The sequence below is a fragment of the Homo sapiens genome, chromosome 3 (genome assembly GCF_000001405.40).
Source record: "Homo sapiens chromosome 3, GRCh38.p14 Primary Assembly".
Taxonomy (NCBI): domain Eukaryota; kingdom Metazoa; phylum Chordata; class Mammalia; order Primates; family Hominidae; genus Homo; species Homo sapiens.
The window spans coordinates 4883829-4900706 of NC_000003.12; the positions used below are offsets into that span (position 1 = coordinate 4883829).

Genomic DNA, 16878 nt, shown 5'->3' on the forward strand with positions numbered 1-16878 from the left:
GCCATCTGCATTTCTTATCTATTTTTCCTCTTAAAGTGGAATATAAAATCCTACTTTTATCCTAGGATGAAAAATCATTCCTTCAAGTGGTAAGATGTCTTCAGTGCATGCAAGGATATTTTCCTGACTGTATAAGATTCTCACCAAACACCACCATATTTCTTTTAGAGATCTTTTACTTTGTATTTAACAAGAACTCTTTTTTTCTTTGACACGATTAAGGTTTTATTCCAGTTAATCGCAAACACAATTTAACCTTCAGGAGTTCCCTTTTAAAAAGTTTGCTCTTTCACTTCACTCATTATACATCCTCAGCCCACCCTGTAGATGTATTTTGGAACACTTCACATAATTATTAAGTAATTGTATCATTTGTTCTTTCATGTTTGTCTTCTGGTAGCTTCAAGGATAGGAACCAAATCTCTCCTATTCACCGTAGTTACAGTCCCCATGCCCCAAGAAGTCTAATGAATTGTCTTGTACATAGTAAATTCTCAGTATGCAGTATATTTGTTGAACAAATGAATTGCCTTTGTCTTAACATCTTAACGTCTATTAAAATTACAAGCTCCTTGAGATTAGAGACTGTTTCAAAGGAGTTGGTTTGGTATACAGCTAAAACAGTATAGAACCAAATTACATACTTAATTCATTTATCATGAATGAAGCAATCACACATCACTGGCAACAGTAATATTGACAGACCCATAATCAACATCCTTGAAGTAACAGAACATTGCTGGCTTGACTAAAAATAATACAAATTTCAAATTATATTTTGTGTCAAATAATTCTGACAATTTTTTATGCTTCACTGAGAATATTAACCTTTGCAATGAGGTGTTATCCACTTCCAAGATAGGTTCTACATGACCTATATGAAATAGAGTTTACCTCCAGTAGGCAGTCTTTTCATAAAGCCCAGCAAAATAGTGTGAGGGTTGGATACTAAAAGCATTTACAGTATGTACAAGTGGAAAAAGTGTATCATCCATTCAAAACTGTTTAATTTTCCTTGGGTTGTTATAATGACAACTTCCTTAACCTGATAACAGATTTTTAAAAATGTAATCATGTATTTATTTTATGGTTTGCACAAGATGTACCTTTAGTACATCCAGATTTTCATAACCCGTCAAACAGTTTTTCAGTATGTGTTATGGCAGGATATTCTAGAACTGCCAAGAAAAGTAAATTCACAGAGCTGCCTGCAATTCACTAACTATAACAAATTAGCATAAGCAGCTCCATTTTAGAAGGCACGGCTTTTACAAGTTACACAGAAAAATAATGTTGGGTTTGCATTTCTATCATTAAAAACTGCCCTTGCCATGAATGGTTACACTGTGAATATTAAACACAGCCCAGATAATTCAGTGTAGCTCGTCTGTTTGAGGTGGAGCTCCTTAATGAAACATTTGGTTATGATCTGAAGACTAACTAGGAAAACTAGCTAACAAGCACCTATTTTTACGGAATTTTTTCTACTTTAAAAAAAAAAAACGCATATCAAATAAAACCTCTCAACACTTGTCAGCTCTCCTGTGAACATACCATATAAATGGACTGGCACCGGCTGCCAGAGAAAACGAAAGGCCAAATTACTCTCTCCCACCCATGCTGTGAAGTTCAGAGAGAAATCTGTCCTAGACCCAAACCACACAGATAGCATACAATGCACCATTTAGCAAGAATGAAAGAATGGATAAAATTCTTCAGATTTCTCTGCACAATAGCAAAGATCTTATTTTGTTAGTCACCATCACAATTTAAAAGGCCTCTGGTGGTTGCTCACAGAACAAAACAAAGGTATTTTCAAATATCTAATTTGCTTAAGCTCTGTTCATTCTGGCCAAAACTCCAAAAGGCATAAAAACTGTGGCTGCAGGCTTACCTTATTCCAAACATATCCGCAGTGCCGTCAGTTGCCAGTGTCATACTAAAGAGGTCTCATCAGTACCTAGAATAAATCAATCAAGGAAGTGAATTTAGAGTCTGGGTTTTGATTCTGGGAAACATGAAACTGTTTATAACCATCCTGGGAATACTATTTTCGAGCAACCTGGGCAATATAGTGAGACCCTGCCTCAGAAAAAAAAAAACATATCTTTTTACAGAACGGAATACACTATTGGCCAGCTTCGGAATTTTGTGAATGCAGCTGCTTGGAGGGCAGGACCTTCGTTCACCCCTTCCACTCCAACCCGTGGAGAAGGTTGAAGGGACTGTCAGTGCCAGCCTGCTTTATGGTGGGCGAGAGAGTGTGGGGATGGGGGCAGAGATGCAAACTAAATAAGGTTTAAAGAGAAATTAGAAGATGCCTGTCCTGCCATGGACCGTCACAAACAGGCTCTTATTTTTCTGTTGGACTCTAAACTTTAATTTACCCACGTATTCTCTCTTCCTCAAACTCAGAATGTTAGACTTACCCTTCACCCTCCCTCGTGCCTCCTCCCCAAGCACTTTCCCACAGGTATTCCCTATTGAAACACAGGTGGTTGCCCATGCTGGAAATTTGGAAATGTCCCAGTTACAGCCCTTTTCAATCAATCACCAAGTCCAGGTGAATCTACCTCTTTAATAACGTCAGTGTTTCCAGTTTTGTGCATCCCTACAATGGCCACCTAATGCAGCCCATTCTGGTCTCTTTCTTGGATTTTGATAACAACTTCCTAAATTATCTTCCCACCTCCAAGTTGTTACCACTCCTTTCTGGTCTTTTTTATTTTTTTTTTTTTGAGACACGGTCCCACTCTGTCGCCTAGCCTGGAGTGCAGTGCAGCAAACACTGGTCACTTCAGCCTCAGCCTCCAGGGCTCCAGCGATCCTCCCGCCTCCTGAGTAGCTGGAACTACATGCGTGCGCCACAATGCCTGGCTAATTTTTGTATTTTTAGTAGAGACGAGGTCTTGCCATGTTGCCCAGGCTGGTTTTGAACTCCTGAGCTCAAGTGATCCTCCCACCTTGGCCTTCCAGAGTTCTGGAACTACAGGCATGAGCCACCATGCCCAGCCCCCTTCTAGTCCATTTTTTTTACACCCACATCGATTCTTCCCCCGTGCTGATCGTATCATTCCCAAACTTAATATCTGACATTCAGAGTCATCGTGTTTTTTCCCCATCTTATTTTGACCTCAGTTTACCTCTCTCGTTTTATCTTGAGCCTCTTCTGCGCACAAACACCAAAACGCTCTACTTTTTGGTTGCCTGAGAGCAGCGTACCAGATCAAAACCTGGGAACTTCGTATTTGTCCTTTTCTCTCTGCCAGGAATATCGTCCTCTCCATTTGCCCAATGAGCCCCACCTCCTCATCATTTTTACCTCTGTGGAAATCCCTTCCTTCCAGAAGCCTCCACTCACTTCTGATGCCAAGGAGCTTCTGCGGCGCCCTGCACGCACCTTTACAGATGCAGGTGGCTGTTTCCTGTGTTAGACTGCAAGCTCCCGTGAGCTGGGTCCATTGCTCATCGTTGACTTGGCCTGGCAAATAATGACTTGGCCTGGTAAATAATCATTATTTGGTAAATAATGATTACACGAACAAATGTAACTAAGACATCCAGATACAATCTAATGCATTTCATGCAACTCGTGTAACCAAGTGAGGTTTTCCAGCTGTTTCAGCTTCTATTATAACTTACATTACAGAACTGGGGTGTCCCAAGCACCAGATTATAAGAATCACCTGAGTCACTTGACAAACTAACAGCATCCTGTCTCTTAAAGAGACACACGGGAAACTGGTAAAAGTGAATCTGAAGGAAAAAACTGGTGATCAGAACCAGGAATACACTTGTTTTTCACTGCATACCCTTTAGATTTGCCTTGAGTTAAAAAAAAAAAAAAAAGAAAAATACACACACAAACACACTCTCTCTCTCATTTAAAATAAATATATTTACTTTATATATCTTATATATTCATATATTGCTGGAAGAATACACAAGAAACCAACAACATTGAGCACCTCCAGGTAGGTGAATTGGGATACTGAGAGAACAAAGTTGGGATAGAGACTTTATAATGACACTCTTTTATACCTTTTGGAATTTCCCATCATTTTAAATGTATGACCTGGTCAAAAAATTTAAAAATTAAACAAAATCACAGGCTGGGCACAGTGGTTCATGCCTGTAATCCCAGTGCTTTGGGAGGCCAAAGTGGGAGGATCACTTGAGCCCAAGAATTCAAGACCAGCTTGAGCAACATAGCAAGATTCCATCTCAACAACAACAAAATTTTAAAAATTAGCCAGGTGTGGTGACACATGCCTGTAATCCCAGTTATTTAGGAAGACAGGATGGGAGGATCGCCTGGGCCCAGGAATTCAAGGCTGCAGTGAGGTATGATGGTGCCACTGTACTCCAGCCTGGCAAGACTCTGTCTCTTAAGTAAATAAATAAATAAATACACAGATTTTCAGACCCATCCCTGGATGTTCTGATTCATGAAGCTGGAAGTGGGGCCTAAAAAAATCTGTATTTTTAATAAATTCCCTGGGTAATACCTATGATCAGGTAAGTTTGAGGAACACTGTTAAGGTTGGACTTGATCTTAGAGATCATCTAATCCAGTAGTTCCCAAACCTGGGCATCATCCTTGACTTAATCAGAATGTCCAGGGAAGGGTCCAGGGAAACCAGTGCTTTAAAAAGTGCTCCCAGATGATTCCAATGCAGGCACTGGCTTGCAGCTTGCATTGGGACCCATGACAAGAGTGCCATCCATCACCCAACCAATACACGAATTGCTTCTCAGTATCGTATGCACAGAAATGTCTCCATCATTATTGCAGCTGGCCTTCAAAAGAGCCCTTGGCGACTCTCCCTTCCTGGTATTCATGCCTTTATGTAGTTTCCTCCCACACTGAGTAGGGCTCACCTGTAGAACCCATAGGATATTGTGGGAATGATGGAGCGTGGCTTCCAACACTAGGCTGTCAAAGATATTGTGGCTTCTGCCTTGTTCTCTCTTGGCTTGTCTGCTCTGGGGAAGCCAGCTGCCATGTTACGAGGATGCTCGGGGGCCACATGGTGAGCAACTGAGTCCTCCTGCCAATCACCAGCACTGACTTGCCAGTTACGTGAGTAAACCCTGTTGAAAGTGGCTCCTCCAGTCCCAGGCAAGCCTTCAGTTGACTGCAGCCAGGGCTGACATCTGGACTGCAATCTCATAAGAGATCCTGAGACAGAACCACCAAGCTGCATCACTCCTCCATTTCTGGCCCATTGAAACTGAGTGAAGTAGTAAATGCTTAATATTGTTTTAAACTGATAACAGGGTTTTTTGGGGGGAGGTGGGGTGCAGGAGATTGTCACACAGCCGTAGATAACTCATACAATCATATTTTCCCACAAGTGCATTTCTTACCAGTGGCCCCATTTCCGTTTCATCTCCCGTCTGGAAAAATATTCTCTTCCCCAAGCCTGCAAGTAAGGTATTATAACATATTTGCTTTCACAGGTTGAGTGTTAGTTTAGAGTGCCATCATGGGGCTTTCTAACTTGGGCAGCACAACTTCTCAAATACTGTCAGTTAGCAGTGGGGAAACTCGTCAGTCTTACTTCCTGTGGTTCTCTGTGGCTTGGCTTGAGTGGATGGGGAAAAACCAAATGATCTTTTTTTGTGGTGATGAAGTGCTGAGCCCTTGTCCACTGTAGGCCCAGTTCTGGCATTCTCCATGCCCACTGAGGCCTCTCTCTGACCTTTCCCTACACATAGAAGGCAGGACAACTGTAAATGCTCTTTAGCTTGTGATGTGATGTCTGTGCATTACATCTGCCAGATTCTGGATCTTGACCTGAAAATATTGGTTTCTGTTTTGACAGAGGAGATGGGCACCTGATTTTCATCTGGAAAATGATATGTGTGCAACATTGCCAGTATCAGAAAGAGTATTTCATATGCAATTACCCTCCAAGCCCTAGGAGGACTTTAAGTCCTTGGAAGGAAGCCAACCTACTCACTGTCCTTGATGTCATCTACAAAGTCAGAATGGTAGAAATCACATTAGACTTCACTAACGAATCATCAGCCAAAGTCTTAAAACAAATATGTGCATTTGCTTCATGCCAGCTCTTCCTTTTTTCTGCCAGTTTCTGACAATTATGGTCACTTAGCTTTGATCTCACCGGACACCTGATTATTTAAAAAGCCAAAATCCTAAACCCACTGGTGTTATTCTGCTTGCAGATAAAAGCAAAGGTCCATTTGTGAAACATCAAAAGGAATTAGGAAAATGTGGGATGTGTGTTGCTTGGTGTTGCCTAGCAATATGGTTAGGGCACAGGAATCACAGAGAGGATGAAATTCACAGCCACAAGGAAATCATATTATTCATAATAAACACACACACGCACACACACATCCTGACATCTCTGCAAGAATGTTATAAACTGAGTACAGAATTATAGTCACAAGTAGAATAATCTTCGGAGCACTGAAGAATAAACATTCTAGTTGATTGGTTGCTTATACTTCAATGTCTATATGAGTACATCACTCACTTAAATGCAAAAGCATTAAATGCCTGTGAATGGAGTTTACAATATGTCTCATAGACATGAGCTCTGTCAGTATAAGTAAAACATACATTTTAAACCAAATATATTAATATGTAAAACGATAGGACAGAGTATTTAATATATAAAAACAACTTTAAGCTCTTTCCTCACCCTTATTTCAAAATATCTACGTTTACCATGAATGTTCATAAGGGCGGTGGTAAAAAGCATGACCATCAAAGTCAGGTGCTTGTTTTCAAATCCGGACTCTGCCTTTTGCCATGTGACCATGAATGGGTTATTTAATTTCCCTAAACCTGCGTTTCCTCATCTATCAATTTGAAATGATTGTACTACTAAATTTATAGGGCTGCTGTGAGGATTAAAATAAAGGAATCTGGCCGGGTGTGGTGGCCCACGCCTGTAATTCCAGCACTTTGGGAGGCCAAGGCGGGCAGATCATTTGAGGTCAGGAGTTTGAGACCAGCCTAGCCAATATGGAGAAACTCCGTCTCTACTAAAAATACAAAAATTAGCTGGGTGTGGTGGTGGGCGCCTGTAATCCCAGCTAATCAGGAAGCTGAGGCAGGAGAATCACTTGAACCCGGGAGGTGCAGGCTGCAGTGAGCCAAGGTCGTACCACTGCACTCCAGCCTGGGCGGCCTGAGACTGTCTCAAGAAAAAAATAAAAATAAAAAATTAAAAATATAAGGGAATCTATGTAAAGGATGAGTACAGGGCTTGGTTCTACAAATATATTGGCCTTTCTACTTTTTATTATTAATAGTACTGTATTGTTATGCAGAAGGCCTCTTGATTGCTCTTCAATAAATATAGATACTACCAATTAAGCCAAGAAAATGTTACAGGTAGAATTTTTGCCTGTAAGGGGGCTTTGGGGTGTTAGGAAAAGGAGATTATAGCCTCTAGTCCCTCCCCGCCCTATCAATTGTTCTTCCAAAGTCAGAGCCAAGCAACTTGAGTCCAAGAATGAGACGCAAGCCTCCAACATGGCCACTCACTGACGGAAAACTCCCATTCCATGAGGCTGTTCCATCGTAGGGCTACACAGACCAGTATTCTCCCAGCTCCAGGCTCCCCTCCCAGAACAACTCACTCCTGTATCCTGCATCCTCCCAGGTTACAAATCTGGGAGTCTTCTAAAAGGGCTTCCACCTTTCTTCTTTGTAGCTGACCTTGGAAATGTTCTCAGTTCTGGGTAGAGCTTTAATTTCCTCCGTAAGTACTGCTTTCCCAGGCTATGACTGCTTTGCCAGGTTATGATGATGGGAACCTGCAAGTGTGGAAGAAAGGGAGGCATCAGCTGCCTCTTCTGCTTGATCTAGGAGCTCTACTTCCTAGAAACATTTGTGTCCTAAGATATTGGTGAGACAGAATCAGACCAGCTGAGCTACCAGCCTTCCCCTAGGGAGAGGTTAACAGTTAATAGAACACCCTGAGAAATAATATGTGTACCCAAAATAGGCAAAATGTGAAGAGTGAGTGACTTGTAAGAATGAGAAAATTACATGGATCCCATTTTAAGATTCAAAAGTCAGTCAAAAACCAATTGTAAGGCCAGGTGCAGTGGCTCACACCTGTAGCCCCAGCACGTTGGGAGGATGAGGTGGGGAAATTGCTTGAGGACAGGTGTTTGAGAGCAGCCTGGGCAACATGACCAGACCCTGTCTCTACCAAAAAAAAAAAAAAAAAAAAAAAAAGGTCTTAAGAAGAGACATTTTAATGTATTCTTAATATCATTTTACTTGCATGAATTTGGGAAAGGTTTTTGTTTGTTTTCTTCCAACCAGTGAACTATTTAGGACAGAACTAACTTACAAGTCCTATTGCTACTTATATGTTTACGAAAGTTCATTTATTAAGATAGAATAAATGCTTTTTTTGGCTTTTAAGAATCGTTGAAACAACATGGGGTTAAAAATAGAAGGGCCCTATTTATAGTAGAACAAAAAGACTAAATTCCTAAGCTTAAGAAGTGAACAAGAGCTATATGAAAAGACTTTAAAATGCCACTGAGGATCACAGAAGAAAACTTGAACTAATGGAAGGATGTATGTATTTTTAGATAAAAAGACTTAACTATGTAAAGATGTCAATTATTCCCAATCTATAATGCAAAAGCTCAATTTTAAAAAAGGACTTTTAAAAACTATACAAGCTCATTATAATATGGAAAAATAAAGAAGCAAGAATATTCAGAAATCCTGAAAATAAAAAAACAAGGGTTTTTTAGTTGTATCAGATATTAAAATATAGTATAAAGCTCTAAAAGTAAAAGGGTATGGTATATGAATAGACAAGGCAACTCGATGAATTATAAATGCAAAGTCCAGAAATTGACTCAAATACAAAAAGAAATTTAGTATATGATAAAATGCCACCACTTACCAATGGAAAAGGATAGTCTGTTCAATAAACAATGTCAGAGCAACTGAGTAGCCCTCTGGGGAAAAAAATGAGAAAGTTGTATCCAAGCCTTACATGTTTCACCATGATAAATTCCAGATGAATTAACATTTTTAGAAAGAGCAAAAGGGAAATAAAATCATGAGAGCACTAGAATAAGCCATTAGATAATCTTTAAATATAATCTTGGAGTATGCTTTGAAGCATAGAGTAAAAGCCAGAATCCAGGCTGGGCGCAATGGCTCATGCCTGTAATCCCAGCACTTTGGGAGACCGAGGAGGGTGTATCGCCTGAGGTCAGGGGTTCAAGACCAGCCTGACCAACATGGTGAAACCCCATCTCTACTAAAAATAAAAAATTAGCCAGGCATCGTGGTGCGTGCCTGTGATACCAGCCACTCAGGAGGCTGAGGCAGGAGAATCCTTTGAACCCAGGAGGCAGTGAGCCGAGGCTGCGCCATTGCACTCCAGCCTGGGCAACAAGAGCAAAACTAAAAAATTGATTCTTCAGGACTTTCAGGTTAACTTTGTGTTTATGAGCCCCATTAAAAAGTGGGCAAAGAACATTAACAGACACTTTTCAAAAGAAGACATCCATGTGGCCAAAAAGCACATGAAAAAAGCTCAATATCACTGATCATTAGAGAAATGCAAATCAAAACTACAATGAGATACCATCTCACACCCAGTCAGAATGGCAATTATTAAAAAGTAAAAAAACAACAGTCTGGTGAGGTTGCAGAGGAAAGGGAATGCTTATACACTGTTCATGGGAGTGTAAATTAGTTCAACCATTGTGGAAAGCAGGATGGCGATTCCTCAAAAAGCTAAAAGCAGAACTGCCATTCAACCCAGCAATCCCATTACTGGGTATATACTCAGGGGAATAGAAATCATTCTACCACAAAGACACATGCACATGAATGTTCATTGCAGCACTCTTCACACTAACAAAAACATTTTTACATTCACAATAGCAAAGTCAACTTAAATGCCCATCAGTGACAGATTGGATAAAGAAATGTGGTACATACACACTATAGAATACGGCACAGCCATAAAAAAGAACGAGACCATGTCTTTTGGGGGAACATGGATGGAGGTGGAGGCTATTATCCTCAGCAAACTAATGCAGAAACAAAAAACCAAATACCACATGTTCTCATTTATAAGTGAGAGCTAAATGATGAGAACCTATGAACACAAAGAAGGACTGGGGTCTTCAGAACACAACAGACTCCGGGGTCTACTCGATGGTGGAGGGTGGAAGGAGGGACAGGATTAGAAAAGATGGCTATTGGGTACTGGGCTTAATTCCTGGGTGATGAAATAATCTGTACAACAAACCCCAGTGATATGAGTTTACCTATGTAACAAACCATCACATGTACCCCTAAAATAAAAGTTAAAACAAAAAAAAACTTTGTGTTTTAAGGAGCTGTGTTTTAAATGTCTATCCTCCAAGCAAAGAATATGCCAAATACAGCATATTTCCTCTTCTAAGTGTGTAGTGTTCTACTGTTATATTATCTGATTTAATTTTTCAGGTGAGAGCTATCATTAGGCAGAATTCTGGGATGGCCTCCAAGTTCACTTGAGTTTTATTAGGACACGGCCATGTTGCTGTGCACAGTGGCTCACGCCTGTAATCCCAACACTTTGGGAGGCTGAGGTGGGCAGATTCCTTGAGGACAGTAGTTCAAGACCAACCTGGCCAACACGGCAAAACCCTGTCTCCAGTAAAAATACAAAAATTAGCCAGGTGTAGTTGCCCGCACCTGTAGTCCCAGCTACTCAGGAGGCTGAGGCAGGAGAATCGCTTGAACCCAGAAGACAGAGGTTGCAGTGAGCTGAGATTGTGCCATTGCATTCCAACCTGGGCAACAGAGCAAGACTCCGTCTCAAAAAATAAAAATAATTTTAAAAAAGAACACAGACATGTCCATTTGCTTTTATGTATTATCTATGGCTGCTTTTGTGCTACAACACAGAGTAGTTGAGAGGAGAAGCTGGATGACCTGAAAGACCTGCAATCTGTACTATCTGTCCCTTTGTAGGAAGTTTGCAGCCTCTGGCTTAAACCATTTTGAGTTGGGTCTCTTGGGGGTGCTCCTGTGTGCTGTTTAATCCCCCTCCCTCGACTGCAGTCAGGACCTGTGAATATAATCCATTTCACTCTTTTGATTAGATTACATTATATGAGACCCTCTTAGCAAATTGGATAGAGCCATTCTCCAGCTGAGCTTAAAGAAGTGAGGTGTCTCATGGCGAGGGGCATGTGGTGGGCACGGAACTGTGAGTGGCTTCTAGGAGCCAAGAGTGACCCCCAGCTGACAGCCAGCAGGAAAACAGGGACCTCCATCCCACAGCTGCAAGGAACTGGATTCTGCCAACAACTACATAGGCTTGAAAGAGGATTCCACGCCCCAGAAGAAAAGCCTCGTGACACCTTGATTGTGGCCTTGTGAGACCCTGCATGGAGGACCTCAAGCGTTGCTTGGATGAGCCACAGAAACTGGGAGGTAGTTTGTATGTTGTTTTAAGCTGCGAGCTATGTGGCAATTTGTTACATAGCAATAGGAAATGAATGCAGATCACGATGTGGGTTGCCTGCCTAAAAACAACCACTCACACACACACCTCACCTGCTTTCTCAGTCTTAGGAAGTGAATCAAATCTTTTAGGAGGCATCTAAAAAAGCTTTCCCTGCCAGACGCGGTGCCTCAGGCCTGTAACCCCAGCACTTTGGGAGGCTGCAGATGGGCCAATCACCTGAGGACAGGAGTTTGAGACCAGCCTGACCAACATGGTGAAACCCTGTCTCTACCAAAAATACAAAATTAACCGAGCATGGTGGCGGGTGCCTGTAATCCCAGCTACTTACTTGGAGGCTGAGGCAAGAGAATCGCTTGAACCCAGAAGGTGGAGGTTGTAGTGAGCCAAAATCACGCCACTGCACTCAAGCCTGGGTGACAGAACAAGACTGTCTCAAAAAAAAGAAAGAAAGAAAGAAAGAAAGAAAGAAAGAAAGAAAGAAAGAAAGAAAGAAAGAAAGAAAGAAAGAAAGAAAGCTTTCCATGCTCCTAGAAAGGGGACACAGGAAAGAGACATTTGTGGCCTTTAGACACTCTTATGTGAAGACATGATGTGTGGGGGGCTGTGGTCATCTCATGACCGGGAGAGACCAAGACTGGGAACACAGCCCGCACAAAGCTGAGCAAGCAGATGGAATGAATTGAGTTCCTGGATTGAGATGTGAAGCTGCTGAATCAACTAACCCTGAAGCTTACGTTGCCTGGAACTTCTTGTTACTAGTATGATGGTAAATTCAGTGATTGTTTAAACTAGAGGTCAGCAAACTACAAATCCTGCTCACCACTTGTTTTTGCAGGTAAAGTTTTATTGGAACCCTGGCATGTTCAGTTGTTTACCCATTGTTTATGGGTGTTTTCATGCAACAACACAGAGTAGTTAAGACAAGAGGCCACATGGCCTGCAGAAACTACAATCTTTACTATTTATTCCTTTAAAGGAAAAGTTTTCCAATCCCTTCGATCATTTTGAGTTGGGTCTCCTATCATTTGCACCTCAAAAGCATTCACACAATATTTGATCAGTTTCATTCTGATGAAAAGTGGTAACACTAAACTATACCTGATAATAATGACTCTCTTAGTCCATTTGGGCTGCTGTAGTAAAATACCATAAACTGTGTGGCTTATAAATAGAATTTAATTTTCTTACTCTGCTGGAGGCTGACCTGTCCAAGACCAAGGTGCTGGCAGATTCTGTCTCTGGTGAGAACCCATTTACTGGTTCATAGATGGCCATCTTTTCACTGTGTCCTCACGTGGCAGAAGGGGGTGAACCAGCTCCCTTGGCCTCTTTCATAAGGGCATGAATCTCATTCATGAGAGCCCCACCTTCATGATCTAATCATCACCAAATACCTCAACTCCTAATATCATCACCTTGGGGGTTAGGATTTCAACCTATGAATTTGGTGAACGGGGGCACACAAACATTCACACCATAGCAATGACTATGCGTGTTTTTAAGCAAAGCTTTATTGAAGCATTATCATACACATATAAAAGTTTGAAAAATCATTATTGCACAGCTCAATGAGTTTTCAGAGTGAATATGCTGGTGTACCATCACCAAACCCCAGAAACCCCTTATACCCACCTCAGTCACTATATCCCCCTCCCTAAAGACAACTACCCTTCAGACTTCTATGAGAATAATCTCCACTGACTAATTTTGTCTGTTTATGAACTTCATACAAATGGATTTATAAATGTGTATCCTTCTGTGTTTGGCTTCTGTTGCTCAGCATTCTGTTTGTGAAATTCATATCTGTTGTGTGTAGCAGTGGTTCATTTATTGTCACTGTTATGTTCCATGGTATGAATATATCATGATTTATTTATCCATTCTACAGTTGATGGATGTTTGAGTTGTTTCCAGTTTTTGACTATTATGAATAGCACCGGTGTGAACAATCTAATGTTTTTGTGCACATATACACACCTTCCTGTTGGAGTGAAATTGTGGGTCATTCATACATGATTTTTACTGGGGTTCTAAAAGTGATTCAGTGTCCAAAGGTATACAGTTTACCTGAATAGAAATTTCGACTTGTTCCCTCTTGACTTAAAAATCAAAGGTAGGGGCCGGGTGTGGTGGCTCACACCTGTAATCCCAGCATTTTGGGAGGCCGAGGCAGGTGAATCACCTGAGGTCAGGAGTTCAAGACCAGCCTGCCCAACATGGTGAAACCCTGTCTCTAGTAAACATATAAAAAATTAGCTAGGCGTGGTGGCCCACACCTGTAGTCCCAGCTACTTGGGAGGCTGAGGCAGGAGAATCTCTTGAACCCGGGAGATGGAGGTTGCAGTGAGCCAAGATCGAGCCACTACACTCCAGCCTGAGCAACAGAGTGAGACTCTGTCTCAAAAAAAAAAAATCAAGGTAAGGCCAGGCATGGTGGCTCATGCTTGTAATCCCAGCACTTTGAGAGGCCAAGGTTGAGGTCAGGAGTTCGAGACCAGCTTGGCCAAGAGGGTGAAACTCCATCTTTACTAAAAATACAAAAATTAGCCAGGCATGGTGGCTGGCGTGTGTAATCCCAGCTACACAGGAGGCTGAGGCAGGAGAATTGCTTGAACTTTGGAGGCGGAGTTTACAGTGAGCTGAGATTGTGCCACTGCATTCCAGCCTGGGCGACAGAGCAAGGCTCTGTCAAAAAGAAAGAAAGAAAGGAAGAAAGAGAGAAGGAGAGAGAGAGAAAGAGAGAAAGAAAGTCAAGGTTAATTTAGCAGAGTATTGGGCTCAAAAGATCATATATAATCAGGCGGCAAATGAATTGAATGAAAAATTAAAACAATTAAAAACAAACCAATTTCCCCTCCAAAGCCTAAACTATTGCTGTAAGGAAGTTTCAAGCTGTCTGCTTAGAGACTGGTTTTTTAAGCAGCTGAATTCAAATCAGTATTTCTTTTGGAACGCTGGGAAGGCTCAGATGGATTTGAAATGTTGCTGAGTCACAAAGGCACATTTTCTGGGACACACTTCTTACTTTGAGGAAAAAGTGATGAAAAGTTATAGATGGATAGGGTGGCAGGGAGCCTTGGTGAATTGGAGTTCCAAAAAACAAGAAAGGCAGAATTGATACAGTGAAGCTCCAATGGCTTTCCTACTTAGCCACCCAATTGCACAGAAAAGCCACAGAAAAATCAAGATTTCATTAGCAAGCACTTTCTCCTACTTCAGCCACCACTGACTGCTACTTCTGCCTCATTCCCTTCTTCACACAGACACCATACTCCAAGGGCCTGAAGACAGTTTATCCACTTTTTAATCAAGCAGTCGACAAGGATTGCATGGATAGCATATCTTCTTCAACATTCAGGGAAGTGTAGATGATCCAAGCACAAATCTGCAGAGGGGAATAAGGAGGCTGCTTATTAAGCATGCACATTTGATTGGCGTTCTTTTTCCACTCATCAGTTGTTATCAAACCGGTAGAGAAGATTCAATCTGATAATTTTCAAGATGAGTCACCAGTAGCCACAGAGTTCTAGGGTCAAACTCAGGGCTTTGTGGCTTAAGCTGTTGTCCTCCCAGTAAGACAGCATACTGAACTATTTTGGCCTGTCTTTCCTCTCTGGACAACTGTAAGGTAAAAATTTATTTAAGAAAGAAAAGGAGACAGAGAGAGAGAGAGAGAGAGAGAGAGAGAAGGTTAAAATGGCAAGTCTTCTCAGCAGGATCCTAATAAATATTTTACCACTCACACTTTCCAGAGCAGAGCAGAACTTGTCTTCTAGCCCAATTGTCTGCTCCAGGTGCAGTGTGGGTACATCTCAGGGTTGGGTCTTCAGCTTTCTCGAGAGACTTCAGTGTCTTTCTCGGCCACCAACGGCCAATGGCAGAGGTCATACAAAGATGGCTGGCTACAAGGCAGCCCTTCTGTCTGCAGACCCTGCCACAGTCCCTCTCTAGGACAGATTAGGAAAATCTACAGAGTAAAGAAAGTGCAGAAGGAGATGCATCCCTCTGCACCTTTATAACTGAGTAATACCCAGAGAATTGAGCAGAATATTCTAAGCTTCGAAAAAGCAAATAGAACAGATATGTGAGACCACATACCCTAAGGTGGTCCTGTCTGATTTTTAATATTCTCTTCCATCCTTAAACAACAACAAAGAAGATGTCCTGACGTTAATTTAGAAAATCCTGACAGAGATTTTAACTGGTAGACTATGGGTACCTTTAATCATCTGTCGGCTTTGCATCATTTATCCACAATCATTTCTGTTTCACAAAGTAGTCTCCTATTTTAATTTTGATAACCTCATTTTCCCGCCTAGACGATTGAAAAAGAACCCTCCCCACCTTGTCCGTTTCCAGGAGCACTTACCTTGAAAGGTTTTTGCAGACATTTATGACACTCCTATGAGGTGGCTAAGGTCTGTTATCCCCATTTTATGGCTGAGGAAACTGAGATAGTGAGACGTTGAGTGCTTGCCCAAGGTCAGGCACTGAGTCAGGAGCAAATTCAGAGGCAGAACTCGCTGTTCCTGGCAGCCTCACCAGGTTCAGCTGCCTCGCCTCTGTTTGAACTGCCTTAAAATAGGACTTTCAAGAATTCTGATGAATCGATTGAAACCCTGCAGTGCTTTATGTGTTAATGATGACTTGGTAACTGCATATATTAATGCTGTTCATTGACTTACAGCCAAGAGCCACTCATTTCCTAGGTGCTCAGCCTAAGAGAGACTATTTTCCTCATTTTTCACTGATTATCATAAAACACTTCCGTGTAACCATATGAGACTACGGTTCTTTCCGACACCAAAGTAAAAGTGCAAATTGTTGTCCTTTTGGCCTCTAAGTGCAGGAATCTCTCCTCTCTCCCTCTGTATACACTCCTCATCATGGTCTCCAGCCTACGACCTTCTCCTCTCTTTCTGGCCTTAGAATCTACCCTTTAGCCTCCCCGGGTGCTTCTGAAATGGAATCACTCACTGGTTCCAGGACACAGCGCTGACCCCCTCTGCATCTCACCCACCCTTATTCATCAAAATCTCTTTTTATCTTCAAGGTTCATCTAAAGAAAACCTGCTAAGAAGCCACCCCCTATTTCCCCACCAAACCTGGTCTCTCTTCCTTTGAAGCCCTTATCTGGCGCCATCTTATTTTGCCTTTTGCTTACTAGGCTCTTGCCCTGAGGATGCAGATTGTAAATTGATTAGGGGCAGGGATGGTTTTACTCACCTTTGCTAGTCTGAGATGGCACACTGACTGCGCACAGTAGGGGAGCTGCTGACTACAGGAGTGGGTGAACTTTTTTTGCAAAGGATCGGTTAGGAAATATTTTAAGCTTTGCTGGCCACAAATGCTCTCTGCTGATTCTTCTTCCTTTTCTGCAACCCTTTAAAAA

General features: G+C 41.8%; 2 long non-coding RNA genes across 5 annotated transcripts in view; both read right to left on the minus strand.

The window, feature by feature from the left end:
- Nucleotides 1–3791, minus strand: part of LOC124906209 (uncharacterized) — a 73328-nt gene extending 69537 nt beyond the window's left edge. The window contains exons 1-2 of the long non-coding RNA XR_007095795.1: nucleotides 3323–3791; nucleotides 1895–1960 (exon numbers count right to left, since the gene is read on the minus strand). This is a non-coding gene — a long non-coding RNA (uncharacterized LOC124906209). The remainder of the gene's footprint in view (nucleotides 1–1894; nucleotides 1961–3322) is intronic.
- A 9189-nt stretch (nucleotides 3792–12980) lies between these two features.
- BHLHE40-AS1 (BHLHE40 antisense RNA 1) overlaps nucleotides 12981–16878 on the minus strand; it is an 83153-nt gene continuing 79255 nt past the window's right edge. For 2 of the 4 annotated variants that reach the window (NR_125916.1, NR_125915.1), the window contains 2 exons: nucleotides 16713–16869; nucleotides 12981–14871 (listed from right to left, as the gene is read on the minus strand). This is a non-coding gene — a long non-coding RNA (BHLHE40 antisense RNA 1). Of the gene's footprint in view, nucleotides 15108–16712; nucleotides 16870–16878 lie in introns of all 4 variants that reach the window. The other 2 variants (NR_037903.3, NR_125914.1) reach the window with 1 other exon arrangement.